We start from the raw sequence: 20,898 nt of genomic DNA on the forward strand, positions 1-20,898 counted from the left end.
ACACACCTATGCCAGGGCCCACATGAGTTCACATGCACACACAGGCCACAGAGGGCCAGGGGGAGACACTCCAGCAGCCACTCTTACACTAAGAAGGGAGTCCAAACCCAGGAAAACAAAAAAGCAAGCTGGGGGAAAAAGGAAAAAGAAAAAGAAAACTAAAAAATAGATATGATGGTTTTGCCCACATTGCAAGACAGGTTAGCCAAGACATACCTTTTGACTAGGACCTCGCAGCCGGTCATTCTTGGGACTGTCAGTGAGGTGGGTGGCCTTCTCCATCGCCCCAGGGGCCTTGAGCAGTGTTGCTTTGGTTTATTTCAGGAAGTGCTATTGGAAACATAAAACAAAGTGCCTGGCAGGCACTATAAAAAAAAATAGAAGAAATACGGTAGCCTTGATCATCCAATGGGTATTGATACGTTTCTTAACAGGGGCAAGGGGAGGGGAAACACACGATGATGTCTCCTTCTATCTTCCAGAAGCACGGCCTCGGCCTCGGGTGGTGGAGTCACTGCTGAGCCCATGACGTTCTGCTTATATTCCATCCCTGCATTTGGAAGTCGTTCTTTGCCAGGAGGAAAGTGAGGAAAAACCAGCAATAACAAAACAGCAGCTCTACTGACGGAGGAGGAGGAGCCCAGGAGGCGGCTGGTCAGGGCCCAGGTGTGGAGGGAGGCCAGGCATAGGCACCCCGACTTCTCTGGAACTACTGACATTTTCTCGCAAGCAGAGAGGAAGATGGAAAGGTCAGGGAGGAGAATGAGGGAGGGGTCTGCCGCGGGGAGCCGCAAACTCCGTGGGGCACAGAATAGTGCAACCGTCTCCCATTGAGGAAATTCTCCCCACCGGGCGGCTTGCCTCTAAACAGGATATTGCTTCGATTTCTTTGATTTCCCTTCTCTCTCTCTCTCTCTCTCTCTCGCAAAAAAAGTCTGATTCTAATAACAGCTAGAATATATAAATAATAATGTTTTAATGTTATTGGTTCTTTGTTTCCAACCCAAAGTTCCTCTTCTCTTCCTTTTGCCAATAAATATGAAAATTGAGGACATCAACTCTGCTCCTGTCAAAAAGACCCCCTCCCCTCAGAAAAGAGACAATCCGTCTAACTTCCTATTTCTATGGAAAATAAATAGCGCATCACGATGCCATCTCTCGGAAGAACGCTCATTCTGCTGTTTTGTTTTGTTTCAGTAGTTTGTGCTTCTGTTGTACATACCCAAAACAGAGGGGTGGGGGGAGGGATGGAGGGACACGTGGGAGGTGAAGGGAAAAAAAGCAAGGATAGAGGGAAAATCTAAAGTTGCCTTTCATTAAAAAAAATATATATCAGAACCAGCACAATGACCAAAGTCAGAGGGGGATGGCTAATTGCCCAGAGAGTCTGTTCCGTGGGTTTAGCAACTGCCCTTTTTATCTGCTGTGGGCGAACCCCGGCCACTGCGGCGTCCTCGACAGGAGCGAGGCTCTTCCAAATCGTCCTCATCAAAGCCGTGGAAAGTTGACGTGTCACTTTCTGACGTGGAACCGAATAAGTCCTCCGTGGTACGTGCTGCGGCCGCTGCCTCCTTCTCCTTCCTGCCTTCTCCTCCCAAATGAGCTGACATGTATGATGAATATATCAGCACATGGGTTAAGCAACAGACAGCATTATTAATATTCTCATTACATTATTACAATGCTATTCTTAATAGCAAGATATAAAACCATTTGCACACCAAAGGGATTAACCCGGTGCATCACCTGGTGACGGGGATTTGGGACAAAGCAAACATTTCCAGGGAAGAGGCTTCCCCCACTCCCCGAAAAGGCATCATCTCTACCATAGTACATATGTCCACAGCTTCCGACAGCAAAAGATTCAACCATGATCTTTCTTCTGTTGTGCATACACACAGGCGCTTGCACGCTCACTCAACCCTGCCCCAGACAATGATTTTCATTGGTGGTTTTTAAGCCTGGTTGGGATTTCTTTGGTGTTTTCTGTTGGTGTTTCTTTGAACAATGTTTGTCCTTCACTTTGACAGTCAGCTGTACAAAGGTATTACTGTCAGATAACCCATTCAAGGTGGTTAAGCCTCCATCTATTTCATTTTTATTTTACCCGCTTCTAATCCCATTCTTTCAGAACCCTTTCAATTCTCCCCTTACGCCATGTCGTTCATTTGCACTGAAAGCAAAAGGAAGTTGGAAAGTCTGATAAGTGGTAGGTGATAAAATAGTTTGTTTCCTTTAACCACAGGAGGAAATTTCTGTGATCTGCATCCACATACATGTGCACGTGTGCACACCACACACACACACACACACACACACACACAGACACACACACACACACACACACACCCAGCCACCAGCCATGCCCAGGTATCGGTTACTCCAGAAAGTTCAGTTGTCAAATCTCATTCAGGGCACTACAAAGGTGAGAAATAGGAGTAGAAAAGCCCTAATAAATCAGAGCATCCTGAAATTTGTAAAACTCAGGTTTAAACTTTTTTGCATTCTAAATGAGCCCCAGGACTGCTCTTGTATAAAGGAATGATACATCCCTCATGGTGCCAATTTCAGGAACCTCACTTTCTCCCAGGAAACAGCAGTGGTAGGGTAGATGGGAGGGGAAGGAAGCTCTTCCAAGCTCCATACTCTTCTCTGGAAGGACCGTAGGGAGGCTCCAGAGAAGTATTCGCCCACCTGCCTTAACAAGCACATCTCATCTCATGGGCCAATGACACCTGTTTCTTCCCATGGTATCAACTATTTCAGGAACATTAGAGTCAGACCTTGACTAAATCATCTACCAAAACCAATCCTTGGCAAATGCAGTGAGAATACCTAGGCTGGTAGAAAATGGCTCCCTGAGCCACATAGCAGACAGAACCTTGGAGGGAAAGCTGAGGGAAGGTTGTGGAAAGAGGCTTTGCATAGAAAAAAACAACTTCCCACTCCTGACATCCCATGGCTTCGATTCTAGCACCCCTCTTTTGTAAGAAAGGAAGGGGAGAAATTACAGCAGTTTGCAATGAGAATTCTGAAGCTGCCCCCTCTAACCCATCCAAACCTACAGCAGTCCATAACGTGTTGCTTAGACCATCACTTCAAGTGACCTTGCTTCTGGAAGTAGAGATTTCATCTGATTGCTTGCTTTTAAAAAAACACTGCATTGAATTTCATCTGTTTTTTTTAAGTATCTTAAAAAAACAGAGTCCGCTATCACAAGGGCCCTGTCTTCTACGCTAGCATCCATAGAATAAAAAATTCAATGTTAGGTACCATGTTTGGAAAGTAAATGAACTGACAGAATTGCACAAATGGACCACCCTTGAGAGTCACACGTTGAGGGTTGTGTGCAGCAGAAACCACAGTCCTTTTAAAATTACTGATTTGCTACTCAAGCCAGCCTTAAGCCCTAAACAGCCCTACCATCAAAATATAAAAGGGCTAAAGCTAAGGTTTGCAGACAGAGCAAGGAAAGAGCTGAGTTGCTACAGTCAACCATGATGGGGTCATCTCAGTTCTTCTCTGGGGACTGGGAGTGAAAAAGACACTGGATAGAAAGGTAGAAAGGAGAAATGACTCCTCATTGCTGGAACAAAGCATCCAACCAAACTGTTTCACCTACTCATATCAGGGGCTGATGAGACTAAAAATGGGGTTGAAATTCCCTCCTCCCTGCCTCACACTGTGGTCTAGTGCTGACATAATACAATATGAAAAATAGGTAGTACCAACCAACCATGGCCAGCCAAAAATAATGGTTTGGTTAGAACTAAAAAACAAAACAACCATTTGAACATAACCTGAAGACCTGAATTCATTTTAAGAATGAAGGAACAAGACCAAAAGTCTCTTTCTGTTATTTTAGTCTTTGGATAGGTTAAAATATAAACATATACACCAAATCAACTGCAGATTAGCCCTAGGAATGCCTGTCCTTTTGCCTCATTGATCTATCGGGGTCTCTTCTGTTCTGTTTTAGAAAATGAGATTAGTGGCCAATGGCGGTGGTGTTTATGCAGCTAGCCAGGAGCCCGGGGATCTCTGACTCCCACAATTCAAGATGTGGTTGCTCTCCGAATACTCATGTTTCCACACCACACCACACTCTTCGGGTTTGCCCTAGGCACTTCCACAGAACAAACTCATCTTTCTGTTACATGTGCATCATCCACTACAAGAAAGCACGTTGCCTTCTCTCCAGGTTTTTCCACTCTACCTCGCTGTGGTCCGTAAAAACACGCACAAAGAAATATGCACCTCATGGAAAGGCCAGACACAAACCCAAAACTTCTCTTTGCCCTTTCCCCCGGATCCTAGGGCATAACTTTTGGTTCTTGAGACCCAAAGAAGAAAAATATCAGAATGAGCTGAAAACTCCTCTCCACTCGAAAGCATTGCCACCATCGCTTCCCTCTCCAGTCTCCAGCACCACAAGATGGAAGAGGAATGCAAGAGGAGCATTCCTGGTCTACGGGCACCCGGTGTGGGAAGGGGCCACACTCACCAGAGCGTCCACAGTCTGCGCAGGACACCAGCTCTTCAGGCCGCCCACTCTTCTTGTTCATGTTGGAGCCCCCCAAGCAGAAGTCACAGTAGTTATTGGGAATGACTGTTCCATCCGGTCCTTTCTGGGCTGTGGGAACATTTAAAACATTCCAATTTCAGGCTTACATGAGTTTCAACTGCCCCTTCTTCTCCTCCTACAGTGTGGTAGAATCTGCTCCAGAAGGAATCTGAGGTTTTATTATAACCAAGTTGGCAAATTGGGCTACGCTTTCTTTTGGATCCTTCCGGGTTTAATGGTACTAATAATATCTTGCAAGTCACCCAGAGTTTAATTTTTAGAGTATTCCCCAGCTCTGTGTTGTTGCAGAAATCACCCTGCTCCTCTGATTGCATCCTTAGATGATCAAACCATCCAGAAGAGGTACTGGTCAAGTGAACTACTCTCAGCCCTAAACAATCAGCCCTGTGGGCCCAGGCCCCAGGCATCAGATGGAAACCACACACCATGGTGTGAGGACAGGGAGAGGAAAGAGCCAGTGCCTGGACCTTGCCATTGGGAACAGTGCTCTTGTTTAGGAGATATTCTTCCTGTCCCTGAAATGGAAAACAAAGAAGCACTGATGGGAGGTCATTTCCAGGAATAACACCAAAGATGCTCTTGGGGACTTGGACAAACAACTTGGTGGAGTATCAATCTCCCTGAAGGGGAGTCTCATCTCCCTGAAGTCCAGACCCATTGATCATGGAAAGTGCCCAAGACCCCAAGTGCCTAAAATCAGAACTAGACCCAGGCTTCTAGGCACTTGGCTCAGCCTCATGCCAGAGATGGATTAAACGGTGAGTTACTGAGCATGTCTTTAGGCTTAAGACCGTCACGAATAACTGAACACACTAACTTCAAAACCCACTCCTGCTGGAGGTCCTTAAACAAAAGCAAAGAAAAATCTTAGGACATGACTTTGAAAACAAAGCCTGTGAGGAGAATAGCACCTGTCCTTATGCACCAAAATCATTCCATTTCCAGGGGCTGCTTGAGAAGCCTTGAACAGATTATTTGCATGGAGAGAAATACTTCCCTTTTTCTGTTTCTCCCTCCCTATTGCGGGCATTTCTTTGTCATATTCACACTCCCTGTTTGTAACTAAGAAGAAAAGTCTTTCTGTTTATGGGATCAGCCCTAACCACCCAAGTATCTTCCTCCTCACCAGACCCAGTGTCTGCTGCTGCCTTTCATTATTCACTGGCTAACGTTAATCAGGGTCCCATACGGTACAAATCTGAAAAAGGAAGCAGAGATGTGAGCAGAAATACCATCCAGACAGTAAGTGATAAACGGATTCACCCACTTTAATGTGATTCCCTCTGGCCTCCACTTCCTCCATGCCTCTGCTTTGCCTCCAGGAATAGAAAACCTACCTGGGGAAGGCGGAAGACAAAAGCTAGAGGAATTTCATTATAGAGGGTTAATCCATTTATCAGTTGCTATTTGGATTGTTTAATTGGTTTCTAAGTCATTGATTTCCATCTTCAGGGAGGCAGACAATTCTCTGCAAGAAGTGTTAGCTGTTTGGGGGACACAGAGGAGCTGGCCACATTCTGGGGTCTGTTCAGTGTAGGCTTGTCTTCATCAGTCCCTGGATCTCAAACACATTTGCATGGCATACAGAATGCTTTTGCAAATAATCTCCAAAAAGCAGTATATCTGCAAATATTTTACTCTGCCTATAAATTTTCATTGCCCAAATCCAGAAGTACCAGAGTCCCCTTCTCCCTTCTCCCTCAATTGCCATCTTAGTCATTTTTAGAACTCTCCTAAGAAAATCCAAGCATCTCTATGAAGCAAATAAACTCAGGGTTTCCTCAACAAGATATGGATGGAAAACTATCAAATGGTGAACAGAAAGAAGAGATAGGGTATACTAAATTTAGGGGCTGAGGGTAAACCAAAGTTAAGTGTCATGATTGATATGAGCTAGATATAAAATGTGGAGATGCCAGTTGTTACTTAGGTAGCTTCCTGTATGGAAGGCAATCAGAGAATCCCATATATATCATTCATAAAAACTTACAGGGGGCCTAGTCTCCTCAGCTGTCTCTCTCCTATACTCTTAGGGACTTCCTATAATTTTCAATTTCCTCCCCATTCACAAGATCTTTAAGCAACTAAAGAATCTGATTTTCTCCAACACACTGTCTCCCTCATGACGTATGAGGATGAGTAAGTAAAATATAGAGTATAAAAGCTTGCAGATTAATTCTTGATATGGTTTGGCTGTGCCCCCACCCAAATCTCATCTTGAATTGCAGCTCCCATAATCCCCACATGTCATGGGAGAGACTGAGTAGGATATAATTGAATCATGGGGGCAGGTTTTTCCCTAGCAGCTCTTGTGATAGTGAATAAGTCTCATGGCATCTGATGGTTTTAAAAGGGGCAGTTCCCCTGCACATGCTCTCTTGCCTGCTGCCATGTAAGATGTGCCTTTGCTCCTCCTTTGCCTTCTGCCGTGATTGTGAGGCCTCCCCAGCCAGGTGGAACTGTGAGTCCATTAAATCTCTTTGTCTTTATAAATCACCCAATCTCGGGTGTTTCTTCCTAGCAGATGAAAATGGACTAATACAATTCTACACAGCATTCACTACCAACAGACCATTGGTAGAACACCCTATTGAATCAGGAACTCTAATACTACAAGAAATAAAAAATTAGAAATGATCTAGTAGAGCTAAGCAGGCAGTGATGGAAGAATTCAGCCTTCGTAAAAAGACCAAAGGAAAAGAATTGAATTCATCTGAAAAAGGGAAGCTTCTGACGAGATGGAGTCTGAGCAGCATCCTGTTGGCCATACAGAGTTCCTGTCCAAGGGGTGAGGGAGGTCCTAAAATCCCATGTATAGGCCCCGGTATGTGCAGGAGTGACATGCCAGGCCAGCTGGGGTGTGGAGGTACATTTTTAGTCTGGCAATGGCCCAGTATAGAAAGTGATCATGCACAGCTGTTTTATTTTTCAGAGAAATCATTTTTGCTTCAGTTTCTACTCTTTCTTACAACAGTGAGCTCAAAGCATCCTTCCATTGTGGTCAGATGGTGTGGAATGGACTAATTGCTTATGCACCTGATTTTCTTAAACATTTTGGTACTTGGGATTAGTTTCAGAGCAAGGGTTCTCCCATGGAGCTCTCCCAAACTTCAGCTAAAACATATCAGTCATGCCCTGGGGAGGGTACTGTTGATATCACCATTATGACCCTTGTTTATATTGAGTCTGTGTGCCTCCTCTCCCCGTTTCACATTATCATCTCTCCATATTAAATAGGTCTACTCCTTCAGGTTGGAGACCAGGTCTAACCCGTTGTTGGAACCCCTACAATCTGTGGGATGAGTGACTTTAGAGAGGGATGGCAGGGATGTTAGTGGGTGGCACAGTGATGCCCTGGGAGCACCGGATATCATTCACTGCCCCTGGTTTATTTCCCTACCAGAGGAGAGCTGGTCCATGTGTGCATGAATTGGTCTGTCACCTGGTCTCATGGCCAGCTCCCAGAGTACACAGAAGTCGGTAGCCAATGGCCCTGAGTCACTGGAAGAATAATACTGTACCCCTCCTGTGGGAGGCGAGACATCATTCTGCACCAAACACACAAGAACATAGAAGACAATGATTCATTGTCTCTTGAGAAGAGGATACCTGGTCATGCCTATCCACTCAGCTTCCCTTTTGTTCAACTGCGTATTGAAAGGAGAAGAAAAGGAAGCAGACATTTATCACACCACAAAACTGTGGCAAATCTTTTGCTGGATGCTTTATATATGTTATTTCATTGATTCTTGCAAAAACTTTGTGAAGTAGGGAATTTTTTGACAGATGCAGTAACTGAAATCCAAAGAGATTAAAGCGCTGGCTCCAAGCCTCGGTTGGGCTCTTCGAAGGCAGGTTTCACCCCCAGTTTGTCTGTGTCCCCAGAGATTGTGCCTCTAATCACACTTCTCTGCCTCCTGGGAAGTCCAGAGGTAAACACTTTGCAGCCATACCTTGCATATAAAATATTTCATAAATCTCTTTAGAGTCAACCTGATTCGCCCAATATGATATTTACGAAGCCCAAAGCTATAAAAATTATTGAGACCGGCCTGATAAAAGTGGAAATTCCCTTTGAACTTAAATTTAATGTCCCTACTACAGTAATCCATCCTGGGTGATCCTGTTTATTGTCATCTACTCTATGAAAACACTTCTCTGGAGAATTCCAGAGGCTCATGAAGGAATTTTTTTAAGTAAAGCTCACATCATGGCTAGGTTGGCCTATGGCCTGACCCAGCCATGAGCAATTTCCTGGTACTGTATATGAGATCATTATAAAAAAGATTTTACTACAAATAGGAAGCTCGCCCAGACCTTGTAAGTGGGATTTAAATAGAGATTTTGCTTCTGCTTATGGGAAATTGAGTCCCGCTTTATAGAATAAGATGACGGGGAGGGCAAAGACCCGACTGGCATCTCTATGGCAGCATCTGCGATGATGGATGTGGTTTTCTGTTGATTAATGTTCATGGGCTGAGATCATATAAGAGATACAAGTAAGTTGCTGAGAAAATAAAGTGAGCCTTAAGAGTTTAGAAATCTACCTGAGGGAGATAACTCTAAAAAGCTCAAAGGAAAAAAAATGGAAATCAGGAACAAAGTTCATGAAGAAAGTAGAAGAAAAATAACAGAAGGCAGGGAAGAGCATTCAGATAAATCAAAGCAAGAAAAATGAAAAGTGAAGCTTCACACAGCCCCATCACCACGCTCAGGGAAGCGAGAGCAGGCATTCTGGAAAGGTATCAGTGCTCGCTACAGGATTTTTGAGTTAAATCAGGTTTTATGTCTATGGCAAACAAGGCCCCAAATCTTCCATAAAACTACCGCCCAGGCAGCACCGCCTCTCCCCCTCCCAGTCGGATCTCCGCTGTGGTGTGCCTGCCACTCACAGAAAGAATGACTGGCAGGGACAAACCAGCCGTCGGCAACAGCCACTCGTCTGGGTTCTGCTGAGACCAGAGCTGCGTCCCAAGCATCCTAGGGAACAGGAAACTGGCCAGAAGTTCAGGCTCCTCCTTGGCACGTGCACAAAAGCATGGCCTCACATCCTGAGCAGACGCTCTGACCACCTGCCAGGGCCTGGTGTGCACAAATGCGCGGCCACGCTCGGTGCCCACCACCCACCACCCAGCCCCAGCCCCAGCCCCAGCTGAGCAGCTCCATTTCTGGAGCCTGCTAGCCTGGGAAGTTGGGGTGCACAGCCCTTGGGGAATTCGGGGGCAGTGAGCAGAGCCCTCTGGGAAGAGATGCGCCTCTCCTCGCCCCTCTCGTTTGTTCCCCCCGCCACCCTCCACAGGCTGACAGTTCCCGTGTCCCTCTACAGGTCTGACATGTTTCCATGGCAACCGGAATCCTGGGCTCCGGCAGCCTCCGCTCTTGCCACCTGTTATGACTTCATCTCTCAAGTGTAAAGCATGCTAGCCCCGTGCCACTTGGCTGTGCAGAGCGCATCTTCAGAGGACGACGGAGGGAAGGAAAGGGGAGAGGAAAGGAGGGAAAGCAGACAGGCAGCCCAGGCCGGCCAGGCGGGACGTGCTGGCTAGGCCAGTCCAGAGGAGGAAGCTTGGGGGCCGGAGATGAGAGGGTGGGGAGTAAGGGTGGACCCCGACGTGCCTTCCCTGCAGAATCAGGAGCAAGCCTCAGCTGGAGGCCACTGCCACAGCCTGCTACCTCGGCCTAGCCTTTAATGAGGGCTGCGGGAGGAGGGAGAGGCGGGCTGGGGAGACAAGGCGCCTGCGAGGAGCTCCGGCAGGCCCAGCGTGAAGCAGAGCCAGGAGAGGGTTAAAAGTGGCGTGATAGAGACTGTGGGGAAGGCTGGACCAGAGGGCAAAGGGAGCATCAAAGCCGGGATAAATGGCCTTAATTCTCATGCTCCCACTCGCTGGTCGTGTTTACTCATATAAATTATCCCCCAGGCCTGACACCTTTTTTCACTGCTTCCCTAGAACTGATGAAAAAATAAATCCCACAGATCCCAGGAATAAAAAGTGTGGGGCTTTCATTCAGGCTGGTTCTCCTTGGCCACTAATAGCAACTCAGGTCCCGCCCCAGGGCTCCAGGAGGAAGACAAAGGAAGGCTTCATCCCAAATGTGGAGGGGCAGGGGGCCTGGAAGCCTGGCGGGGAAGCAGACAGTAGGGCCCGCTCCCCACAGGACCCTCCAATCGTCAGAGCCCTCGACGGCAGAGAACTCGCTCTCCCCACAGGCCATCTTGCCACCAGCTCTGAGGACACCGTGAATATATGGGAAAGTAAAGGGGACTACGCTGGAGCGGATGCGGAAGGCGCTGAGGCCAGGGCTGCTGTCATGAGTCCTCACATTTATGGATGGGGCTGATAAACTGTCACACTCCGCACCGTCAAGGACAAGGTGAGAAGATGAGCTGGAATGGCAGCACATGCCACAGGAGAGCTGGAAAGGCAGGTGGCTAACAACGAAAGCCATGGCCAGAGGGCGGGCTTCTCTGGAGAGGCCTCTGCACACAGGGAAGGGCCCCTAGGCCCGGGGTTTTGACTGCGTTGCCGATCTAGAGGCAAGAGAACACGCTAGGTGATGTCCTGAGGTCCCTTTCAGGCCTATTATTCAAGCATTATAATCAGGTGAAGAAAGAGACAGAAAAGCCAAGTTTTCCACACCCAGAGGAACCCAGCCTTTCATCACTGTTCTATACTCATGTAAATGCCTCTTTGCCTGTTACCCATGTGCTACCTGAGGGCACATGAGTAACACCTGAGGGCAGGAACCATGTCCTTCACTGCGGTATCCCTGGCCCCTGGCCAGCAGTGAGTGACACAGAGCTGACAATCAATGCTGAGTGAAAGGATGGACAAATCATCACAGAGGCTTTTTGAGGGGAAAAAAAATCTGCCAGGCAAAGGGAAGTTAATGACTAGGAATTGAGTGGACGGAGAGTCCCCCGAGCACAGGGTGACCATCCTAAGTCCCTCTTATATCGGGGCACAGAAGAAGTGGGAAGGAGAAATATTGGAGCCCCTTGGAGAGAAGAAAGCTGTGGTGTGGAAAGCCACTGCATCTACCTCCCCCAGGAATCCTCTCTCTTAGGCATTTCTTAGTCAACCAGAATGGAAGGCATCAAGAATCCCCAGGCTCAGCTGGCCCCAGAGTCTTGAGACTCATTCTGTCTCTCACCAGGGACTCAGCAGGAGCCAGTGAGAACAGAGGCCCCATCTTGCTGCGTGTTTTGGTGACTGTAGAAATAATATAAATATTTCAAAATGTGGCGTCAACCCTCCACCCTTCCTATGCCTGCCTTCTTTTCCTCCATCTTTATCCAATACTTACATCTTTAGATACAAACCTGGTGAATATTTACTCCCAAAAACTGTGCCATAAAAGCAGAAAACATATCCACTCACACTGATGTCTCCATCCTGAGATGGATATATTTGGTGAGAGTTGTAATTTGCGGTTTGCCAAAAGGCCACAACAATTTGCCAGCAGTGTGTGCACCATGTCACCAGCTCTGGGGCTAGATGGTCACACGGCCCCCAAGGAATGTCCTTTGTGCTCCAGCTTTAGGTGGGCAACCCTAGGTCTGCCATTAATGCTTCGGAATAGTAAGAAAAAGACCAAGTAAAGCTTAGGAATGGGTCGGATATGCTGGCTCACGCCTGTAATCCCAGCACTTTGGGAGGCCAAGGCAGGTGGATCATGAGGTCAGGAGTTCAAGACCAGCCTGGCCAACATGGCAAAAACCTCATCTCTACTAAAAATACAAAAATTAGCCAGGTGTGGTGGCACACACCTGTAATCCCAGCTATTCGGGAGGCTGAGGAAGGAGAATCACTTGAACCTGGGAGGCAGAGGTTGCAGTGAGCCAAGATTGTGCCACTGCACTCCAGGCTGGGCAACAAGAGTAAGACTCTGTCTCAAGAAAAAAAAAAAAAAAAAAAGCTTAGGAATGTTCTCAGTGTTCATGACACTGAGATGAATATCTCATTACGTGACACGTAATGAGATATTTCAGTTTTCCAGTGTTTGGTGATATGGGTCAGTTCATGCCCTGGTGTGGCAACTTGTGATTGCTACCAAATGAGTTTGTTGAAGGAGAAAATGTTAATTTGAGAGCAACTATATCAACCAGGCTCTGAACAAAGTGATGTCACTCCCCTTAATGAATTCCAGACAGCTTGGTGTGTTAGAGCTGGATGAGTTTTGTCTGTTTAAGTTGTCGGGATATTATTATCGACATAATTAGGATTCAACAAGCCCCTTGTTTTGCTTTGCCCAGCCGTGCCCTCTCAACCCTCTTCACTAGCACCACTGAACTCTGTCTGCAAGGGGACCAGCATTTTCTTTGTTCTTCAGACAGAAAGCCGTATTTAAGAAAAGGGAAAGCATGAGCCTTCTGCTTTAGACCTGAGGATTTGGAAGGAATCAAGAGACCACAGAGTCTTGGGGCAGCACAGCCTGAGGATGGTGGCACACGCAGGGGCGCACTCCAAAAGCAGGCCGGGAAGTTGGTGCTGAGAGTCAGAGACGTCTGCCCTACATGGGATAGAGCATTAGGAAAAGAGCAAAAACCAAGGCTGCCCCTTCAATTTGACAGTACAACCTAACTCCTGGCCAGTTACCTGGCTCAGTGCATCCAAAAGAAAAAAGGAATTAAAAGGAAGTTGACTGACTGAACATCAGTCTTGGAAAGCTAGATTTCTGTAAGGTAGTGGTTTACCTGGGAACTTGTCAAAAATGCAAATTCCCAGTCAGGCACAGTGGCTCATGCCTGTAATCCCAGAATTTTGGGAGGCCAAGGCAGGTGGATCACTTGAGGTCGGGAGTTCGAGACCAGCCTGGCTAACATAGCAAAACCCCGCCTCTACTAAAAATACAAAAATTAGCTGGGTGTGGTGGTGCACACCTGTAATCCCAGCTACTCAGGAGGCTGAGGCAAGAGAATCACTTGAACCCAGGAGGTGGAGGTTGCAGTGAGCCGAGATCGCACCACTGCACTCCAGCCTGGGTGACAGAACAAGACCCCATCTCAAAAAAAAAAAAAAAAAAAGCAAATTCCAGGGCCTGAATTGCTGAATCAGAAACTCTGGGGGTGGGATCCAGTGGGTGGGCTGTGCTTTAACAAATGCTCCAGGTGATTCTGATGCAGCCTCAAGCTTGAGAAACATGGCTTTAATTGGTGTGACAGTCATGTCACCCGGAAGTCATTCACTTAATCTTCATCATAGCCTATGAGATAGATGCCATTAATGATCTGATGTTACATAGTGATCCATGAGGCATATGGAGGCTATGCAGCTCAGCTAAGGTCACACGTTAGTCAGTGGCTCACTTGGCTCTGAACCCAAGCAACCGCGCACCTGAGGGGAGGTGAGTCGGAGAGGTGGACACGCAGGGCCTCACAGGCTAGGGCTTCCCAGATTTTGCTGTGCAAATCATTTGGGGATCTCATTAACAATCAGGTTGGAATTCATAGATCCAGGGTACAGCCTGAGATTCTACATGTCTTAAAAGCTCCCCTGGTAGGGTGGCCACGCATCCAGGTTTGACTGGGACAGAGGGTTCTAGGGCGTGGGGCTTTCAGTGCTGTAGCTGGGCAAACCTGGACAAGCTGTCACCAAGCCCCAGGTGCTTCTGACCACACTGTCAGATGCAAAACACAGACCCACAAGATGAGGAGTTTGGGTTGTATTCAAACGTGATGAAAGTGTTGAGAGCATGAGAGTGACATCATCTGCTTTATATTTTACATATATATATATTTTCTTAGAAACAAGATCTCTCTCTGTCTCCCAGACTGGAGTGCAGTGGCACAATCATGGCTTACTGCAACCTCAACCTCCTGGCTTCAAGCAACCCTCCCACCTCAGCCTCCCGAGTAGCTGGGATTATAGGCATGCACCACCACACCTGGCTAATTTTTGTATTTTTAGTAGAGATGGGGCTTCACCATGTTGACCAGGCTGGACTCGAACTCCTGAGCTCAAGAAATCTGCTCAGCTCAGCCTCCCAAACTGCTGGGATTACAGGTATGAGCCACAGCCTGCTTTAGAGGCTGGGAGACCAATCAAAAAAGTTTTAACAACCCAGGCAGAAGCCAGGGGTGGCCAGAAGATAGAGAGAGGGAGAAAATGTAGGGTATATTTTGGAAGACTGAAGGAAAACCAAGAGGCAAGGATGAATCCTAATATTTCACTTCAGGCTCAAGCTTTTTTTTTTAAAAGAGCAAGTTTAGAAGAAAAAAAAAATGAGAGCCAGGAAAGACAGTGAGACACAGAATGAGAGAGAAAGACTCAGGAAAATTATTGAATAGAATGATGTGTGATTTTTTTTTCTGTAGGAAAAAAACTCATTTACCAATTAAAGTATGACCTAGAATTTGTAATGCAGGGGTGGGGTCTCTAAAACATCCCAAACAGCCTAAGTTAGTAAAGAGCTTTGAAGAGTAAATGTGCCTACTATGGACTGAAGTGTGTCCCTCATCCCCAAAATTCATATGTCAGAGTCCTAACCCCCAAAGGGATGTTATTTGGAAAAGGGTCTTTGGAAGGCAATTAGGTTCAGTGGGGTCATGAGGGTGGGGTCCTCGTAATGAAATTAGTGCCCTTATTAGACACCAAAGAGCTTGTTTCTCTCTCTCCACCCGTACACACCAAAGAAAGGCCATGTGAGGACACAATGAGAAAGCAGCTATCTGCAATCCAAGGAGAGAGCCCTCACCACACTCTGACCCTACCAGAACCTTGATCTTGGACTTCCAGTCTCCAGAATTGTGAGAAATAAATTCCGGTTGTTTAAGCCACCCAGTCGATGGAATTTTGTTAAGACAGTGCCTATTAACATGTTCATCTCTTTTGAAAAGCCACAATGCAGCATGATGCATTAGACAACTGGTCTTGAGGCAAAAGTTAAGGGACATCGGTAGGACCATGACAAAGATCCAAGCCTTGGGACTAGGGCCCATCACTCAGGGTTCCAAAGTCCTGACATAACTGAATGGTATCCAACTCAAGCCCATTCACATCTCAGCTTCCCACCTTGCTGTCTGTTACTCAACCTCTCTGAGCCTCAGTTTCCTTGTCTGTAAAATGAGAATAATAACATGTCCCTAATGGACTTATGATCATAACATGAGGTGATGTGTGTAAAATGCCTGACACTTACTAGTTGTTCCGTCATCTCTTTCCCTCTTTCCTCTTCTACGTGCAAGATAATTTTATTTCTAACAAGGCAGGAAAAATCAAAGACCTAAATAAGTAAACTCTCCCAATAAGTGGTACATGACTCATGAATTCACATTCATCCTCCCTGACCATGGATACATGACTTGGTCTTTGTGTGCCTTGCTGTCCTCTGGGGGATACAGCACCTGCCTTGCAGGGTTATTGTGAGGAATGAATGAGATACATGTGGCATGCTTAGCACCATGTCTGACACACTTAAGGAATGCAAGCAAGTACCATTGCCACTGTTGCTGTTTGGTATGTGGGTCTTTTCAATCCTGCACATTTCTAGGTAATTAGGCCCAAAATGCGAGAGAAATAAAAGAGATTCAGAGACAGCCAAGAGACACGTGGAGCCCCAATCCTAGGGCAATGGCTTGGCAAATAAAAGGGTGCCACACTTGTCTAGATTGCCCTCCACAGCTTTCTCTGGCTGGGTTTTATGACTCTGTCTTATTTCCACAATTGCACCAGAAGTTCTCCCAGGGCTGAGACCACGTTATCCCTTTCTGGAGGCCCAGTTACACTTCTCCCAACAACTGGGTGCATGTACAGTAAGTGCTTAATAAATATTCATAATGAGCCTGTTCAGAAGGATCTGTGTCCCATATCTAAGATTTAGCCAAGGATATGCCAGGGCCAGGTCAGGCTCTGATAGTTACTGCTGATGCCAATGACACCCCACAGGCAGTTAGCTTCACAGTGGTGGCAAAGTCCCATCACATGGGCTCAGATGGAACCATGATTCAGATGAGTCATCTGTGGTCACAGACATGCCTGTGGGCCCAAATGGGACAGAGATGGGACATTAGTGCTCACAGGCATGGTGCCAAACATTCACATTATCTCATTTAAGACTCACAGCAATCCCATGAAGTCAGGAGGATTATTACCCCCGTTTTATAGATGAGGCAACTAAGAAGCAGAAGTGTAGGTAAGTGGCCCACATTTGTACCACTGGAAGATGGCAGATTGCCAGGGTCACCATTCACACCCTGGACTGACCAACTCCACAGCCATTCCCTCAGCCACAGGGTCAAGGATGTAGATGACCTTTGAGGCCAGAAAATGAGCCCCAAGTATCCCCTGCAAGGACCAGAGCAACTCTATGGATTCTTTGCTATATAATCTGAAAACTGTCTAGTTAAATAATAATTTCTCTAAAGAACACCTGTTACTAGTTTCCAAATTTACTCTTTGAGAAGGAAGAAGCAGCCCAATTTCCCAGAAAGAGCTCTGTATCTAAACTTTCCTCTGTCTCCCCTAATAACAAAGGCTGGATTTCTGGTGTCAAGTTTAGGTACGCAGTTGGCTGTGTAGGCTTTATGGCTTTTCAGTCACCTTTCAGAGTAATCTAAAATTTCTAAGCTTGTTTCAAAGGTAATTTTCACTCTATCTCTTAAAGCTTTTGGCCGCCCTCAAGCCATATGTTAGAGGACAAGAGATGTCAGAAGACTAACATCTGTTAGATCTTTCCCAACAGTGTGGCAATGACATCATATGCTTCTTTTAGATAATTTGCACATTATCAGACTAATTTTCAGATTATCTAATCAGCAGACATTACCCTTAATCAACTTGGTTCTCCCCTTTCAGCTCTGCAGAGTACAACATGCCCTCCAAAGGCGTGCTAGAGCTGGGGCTCTTTTTTCTCTCAACAGAGGTGAAAAGCCTAACTTTGCACCAGGCATACCACCCTTGCACAAAAGGCTGAGACCTCCAGGAACCTAGAAGAACCCATCTTCAATTCCACAGACTTGAAAAATCAGCTGGAAATACATTTTATAGACTCATATTTTTTTAAATTTCCCTCTTAGGAGCTCTGAGTATGCTATAGAGAGTATGTTATATTTACTTATGCTATTAAATAAAAGAGATACAACATATAACAATAAGACTCCAAACAGATGTTTTTTAAGTTATTTGTTTTTGCCTTCTAGTAATTGCTACTCTGGCTTCCCACTGTCTATAGGAATAAAGACTACACAGAGGGGCATAGAAGACGCTTCCCACTGTGGCCCCTGATTACATTTCCATCTTTCCTCTGCATCCCCTAAATCCAACATTACTATCAGACCCAAAGACTTCCAATTGTCTGAATGTGCCATGCTATCTCATACCTGCCTGCCTTCATGTACAGTTCCCTCTACCTGGGAAGCCCTCTCCCTCCTAAGAAATTCCTTCTCATTCTCCAATGGCTAACTTGAATGTCACCTCTTCGGTGAAGCCTTTGCAAACCCCCTAATGCAGTAGTCCTAAAGCTTGAGTATGCACCAGAATGCCCTGGAGAGCTTTGTAAGACCCAGACTGCTGGCCCCCATCCTTGGAGTCTCTGTTTCAGGACATCCAGTAGAACCTGAGAATCTACATTTTCAACAAGGTCCCAAGGGATGCTAATGCCACACTTGGAATACCACTGCCCTAAGGCATAGAAAGTACCCTGTGCCCTTGAGTCCTGAACTCCCTCACGGTTCTGTACACACCCCATTGCACACTCCCACTCAAGACTGTGAGCTCAAAGACAGGGCTGAGTCCTATTTATGCCTGTCCTCCCTAGTCCCAGCATATAGACAATATTCAATACATGGTTATTACATGGATGGGTGGATGGATAGATGGACAGATGAGATGGATGATGGATGGATGGATGGATGGATGGATGGATGGATGGATGGGTGGGTGGGTGGGTGTGTGGGTGGATGGATGGATGGATGGATGGGATGGATGGATGGGTGGATGGGTGGGTGGATGAGTGGGTGGGTGGGTGGGTGGATGGATGGGTGGGTGGGTGGGTGGGTGGGTGGGTGGATGGATCGATGACGTATACACGGATGGATGGATGCATGGATGGATTAGACTGAATTTATTTACACAGCTTTTCATCCAGGCCCAGGACTTCATAAATGTCTATCCTCACTCTAAAAATTACCTCAAAAACATCATCTATAATCAATTCCCACTGTGCAGAGAAGGTAAAAAGAAGTTCAAAGAGTTTAACATCACAAGCCTATGTTAAGGGGGTTTTGAATTCTAGTCCAGAGCTCTTTCTGCTACTCTACCCCACTGGGGCTCCCTACCAAGGCTGCATTTAAGTAGTCACAATGGTATGCTTCTGAGTGTATCTTTCAGAGTCCTATCCTCCCCAGCTGCCCTCCCTTCATTCATGTATGTGTACATCTATGTGTAGGTGTATGTGTGTGTACATATGCATGTGCACACACACAGTCATTTATTTCATTTGCAAAAAGTAGGTGAAGGTGGTAAAAGAAATGGAGGCCGAAGAGGCACCCAGCCTCATGCAGGGAGAGGGTGGGATGCAGCCCACATGCAGAGGACCCCATCAGAAAAGCACTATTTCCCAGAGGGGAGTGTTTGAGCTCCAAGCATCCCTGGCTTCCTGTAGTTGAGGCAGAGAGGCAAGGGCACACAGGAAAGGGGACAAACGTACAGGAAACACAAGAAATGTATACTCAGGAGAAAATGAGAGACTGAGGGAGAAACAAAGGCGTGAGAGCATCAGCTTGGGGGCCAGGCGATCAGGAGTGGCAGTGGATTGCTGAGCTTGCAGCACAGGGCAGCATGGGCGGGGGCGGGGAAGGTCAGCGCCGGCTCCAGCAGTCCACTCTGCCCTTTCAGCAGCAGCACCAGGCGCGGGATGAGCCATGGGCTCTGCTGAAGACAAAGCTGGGGGGCGATAGAGCAAGCGACAGCAGGAGGACCAAAGTCAAAAGGTCGCTACTGCTGCAGGTGGTGCAAACCCAGCTGCCCTTGGCCCTGCAAACCCTGTGTCTGTAAGGCTGTTTTTCCATTAGGCCTCCGCTCACATGCAGCTTGGGTCACCCTGCAGCTCTGCTAAAGGGGGAAAAAGTCAGCATTTCCACTTCACTGGTGTCCAGACCTTCTCCTGGGGGAGCCGCAGATTAGCCTCTTGGATTAAGCTCTCCTACCTGCCCCTCCCCTCCAAAAGCCTCACCAAGGGAGGATCACGAAGCTGAGACCTTAGGATGCTGCCGAGCTGTCACTTCCAATTCAGCACACAGCCCCAGTAGCATTTAGGGGCAGGATGGATGGGAGCCACCCCCTATCCCCAAACAGTGGGAGCAGCTAATGACTAGGTATTAATGATGCTGGCAATTAGTGCTCACAAGAAAATAGTCGGGGGGCTGCTCACCAGGGGAATGTGGGAGGGAGCAGAGCACACATTCGGGGCGGCGAGCAAGTCAGCGGCGTGTGTGGTGCAGAGAACCTGGGACGACCAGCTGCCTCATGGGTTTGTCCAGAGAAATTGGGGGTGGGGGAAAGGATGTTTTCTGCAGGCACTAAAAGCCTTTCTGCTGTACCCTCCCCACTAGCAAAACTGGGTTAATCACAGAGTTTTCGAGGAGGGCACTGTGAGATGTCACTAAAAAGGTGTTTGTGAGGATTCTGGAACCTTCTTCGTGTGGGGAGGCCCCGGATCCGCCTGGGAATACCTATTATTTTCTAGGAGGTTTTAAACCCTTGGCCAGGCAAATGATCCTTTTTGAAGAGCCCACTTTCTCATCAGCAGGGTGAGAAAGAGAAAAAGGGGAGGGGGAGTTGGAGTGTGTGCCACTCACTGACAAGCCCACAGAGGTGAGAACAAGCCACCCATGAAATTTCGTAGGCAGACGTCTCCACATCTCCACGTAGGGCGAGGGGAGACAGGCACAGCTTCTTTCCCAAGCAAGGCTGTGTGGCCTCAAGGGGAGAACACTAGAAGGCCAAACACACCCGCCCACGAGGGCTCGTGAGAAGATCCACACCCGAGTGCTTGTCTCAGAAGTCAACCAACCCTGAGGGGACCACAGGGATCACTGGGGAGACTGCCTCCTTCTACTTCGGGTCTGCAGCACACCTCCCCGTGCAGCCACAAACACCAAGCACATGGACGGACACATATGCACATGTGCACACACGCATGCACACATATACAAAAACACACACACACGCAGGTACACACACAATACACATGCACACAAACAAGCACACACATGCACAAACAACACGCACACACATGCACGCACACACACAACGTACATACACAACACGTATACACACGCACACACAACATGCACGCACACACACACACATACA

General features: G+C 47.1%; 1 protein-coding gene across 4 annotated transcripts in view, besides 1 other annotated feature; it reads right to left on the reverse strand.

Annotated features, from left to right (window-relative positions):
• Positions 1–20,898, reverse strand: part of DPF3 (double PHD fingers 3) — a 285,068-nt gene that overhangs the window by 60,702 nt on the left and 203,468 nt on the right. For 3 of the 4 annotated variants that reach the window (NM_012074.5, NM_001280543.2, NM_001280544.2), the window contains 2 exons: positions 4,505–4,633; positions 217–1,603 (listed from right to left, as the gene is read on the reverse strand). In NM_012074.5, coding sequence (NP_036206.3) covers positions 1,401–1,603; positions 4,505–4,633 — 332 coding nt within the window. In that variant the 3' untranslated portion in view covers positions 217–1,400. The remainder of the gene's footprint in view (positions 1–216; positions 1,604–4,504; positions 4,634–20,898) is intronic. The other variant, NM_001280542.3, reaches the window with a different exon arrangement.
• Positions 9,685–10,532: an enhancer, noted in NCBI's record as "H3K4me1 hESC enhancer chr14:73146128-73146975 (GRCh37/hg19 assembly coordinates)". NCBI's record gives its function as "activates a minimal SCP1, AML or CMV promoter by ChIP-STARR-seq in naive H9 embryonic stem cells {active_cell/tissue: H9 hESC(naive)}" and the evidence as "EXISTENCE:reporter gene assay evidence [ECO:0000049][PMID:30033119]".

The sequence above is a fragment of the Homo sapiens genome, chromosome 14, assembly GCF_000001405.40.
Source record: "Homo sapiens chromosome 14, GRCh38.p14 Primary Assembly".
NCBI classification, from domain to species: domain Eukaryota; kingdom Metazoa; phylum Chordata; class Mammalia; order Primates; family Hominidae; genus Homo; species Homo sapiens.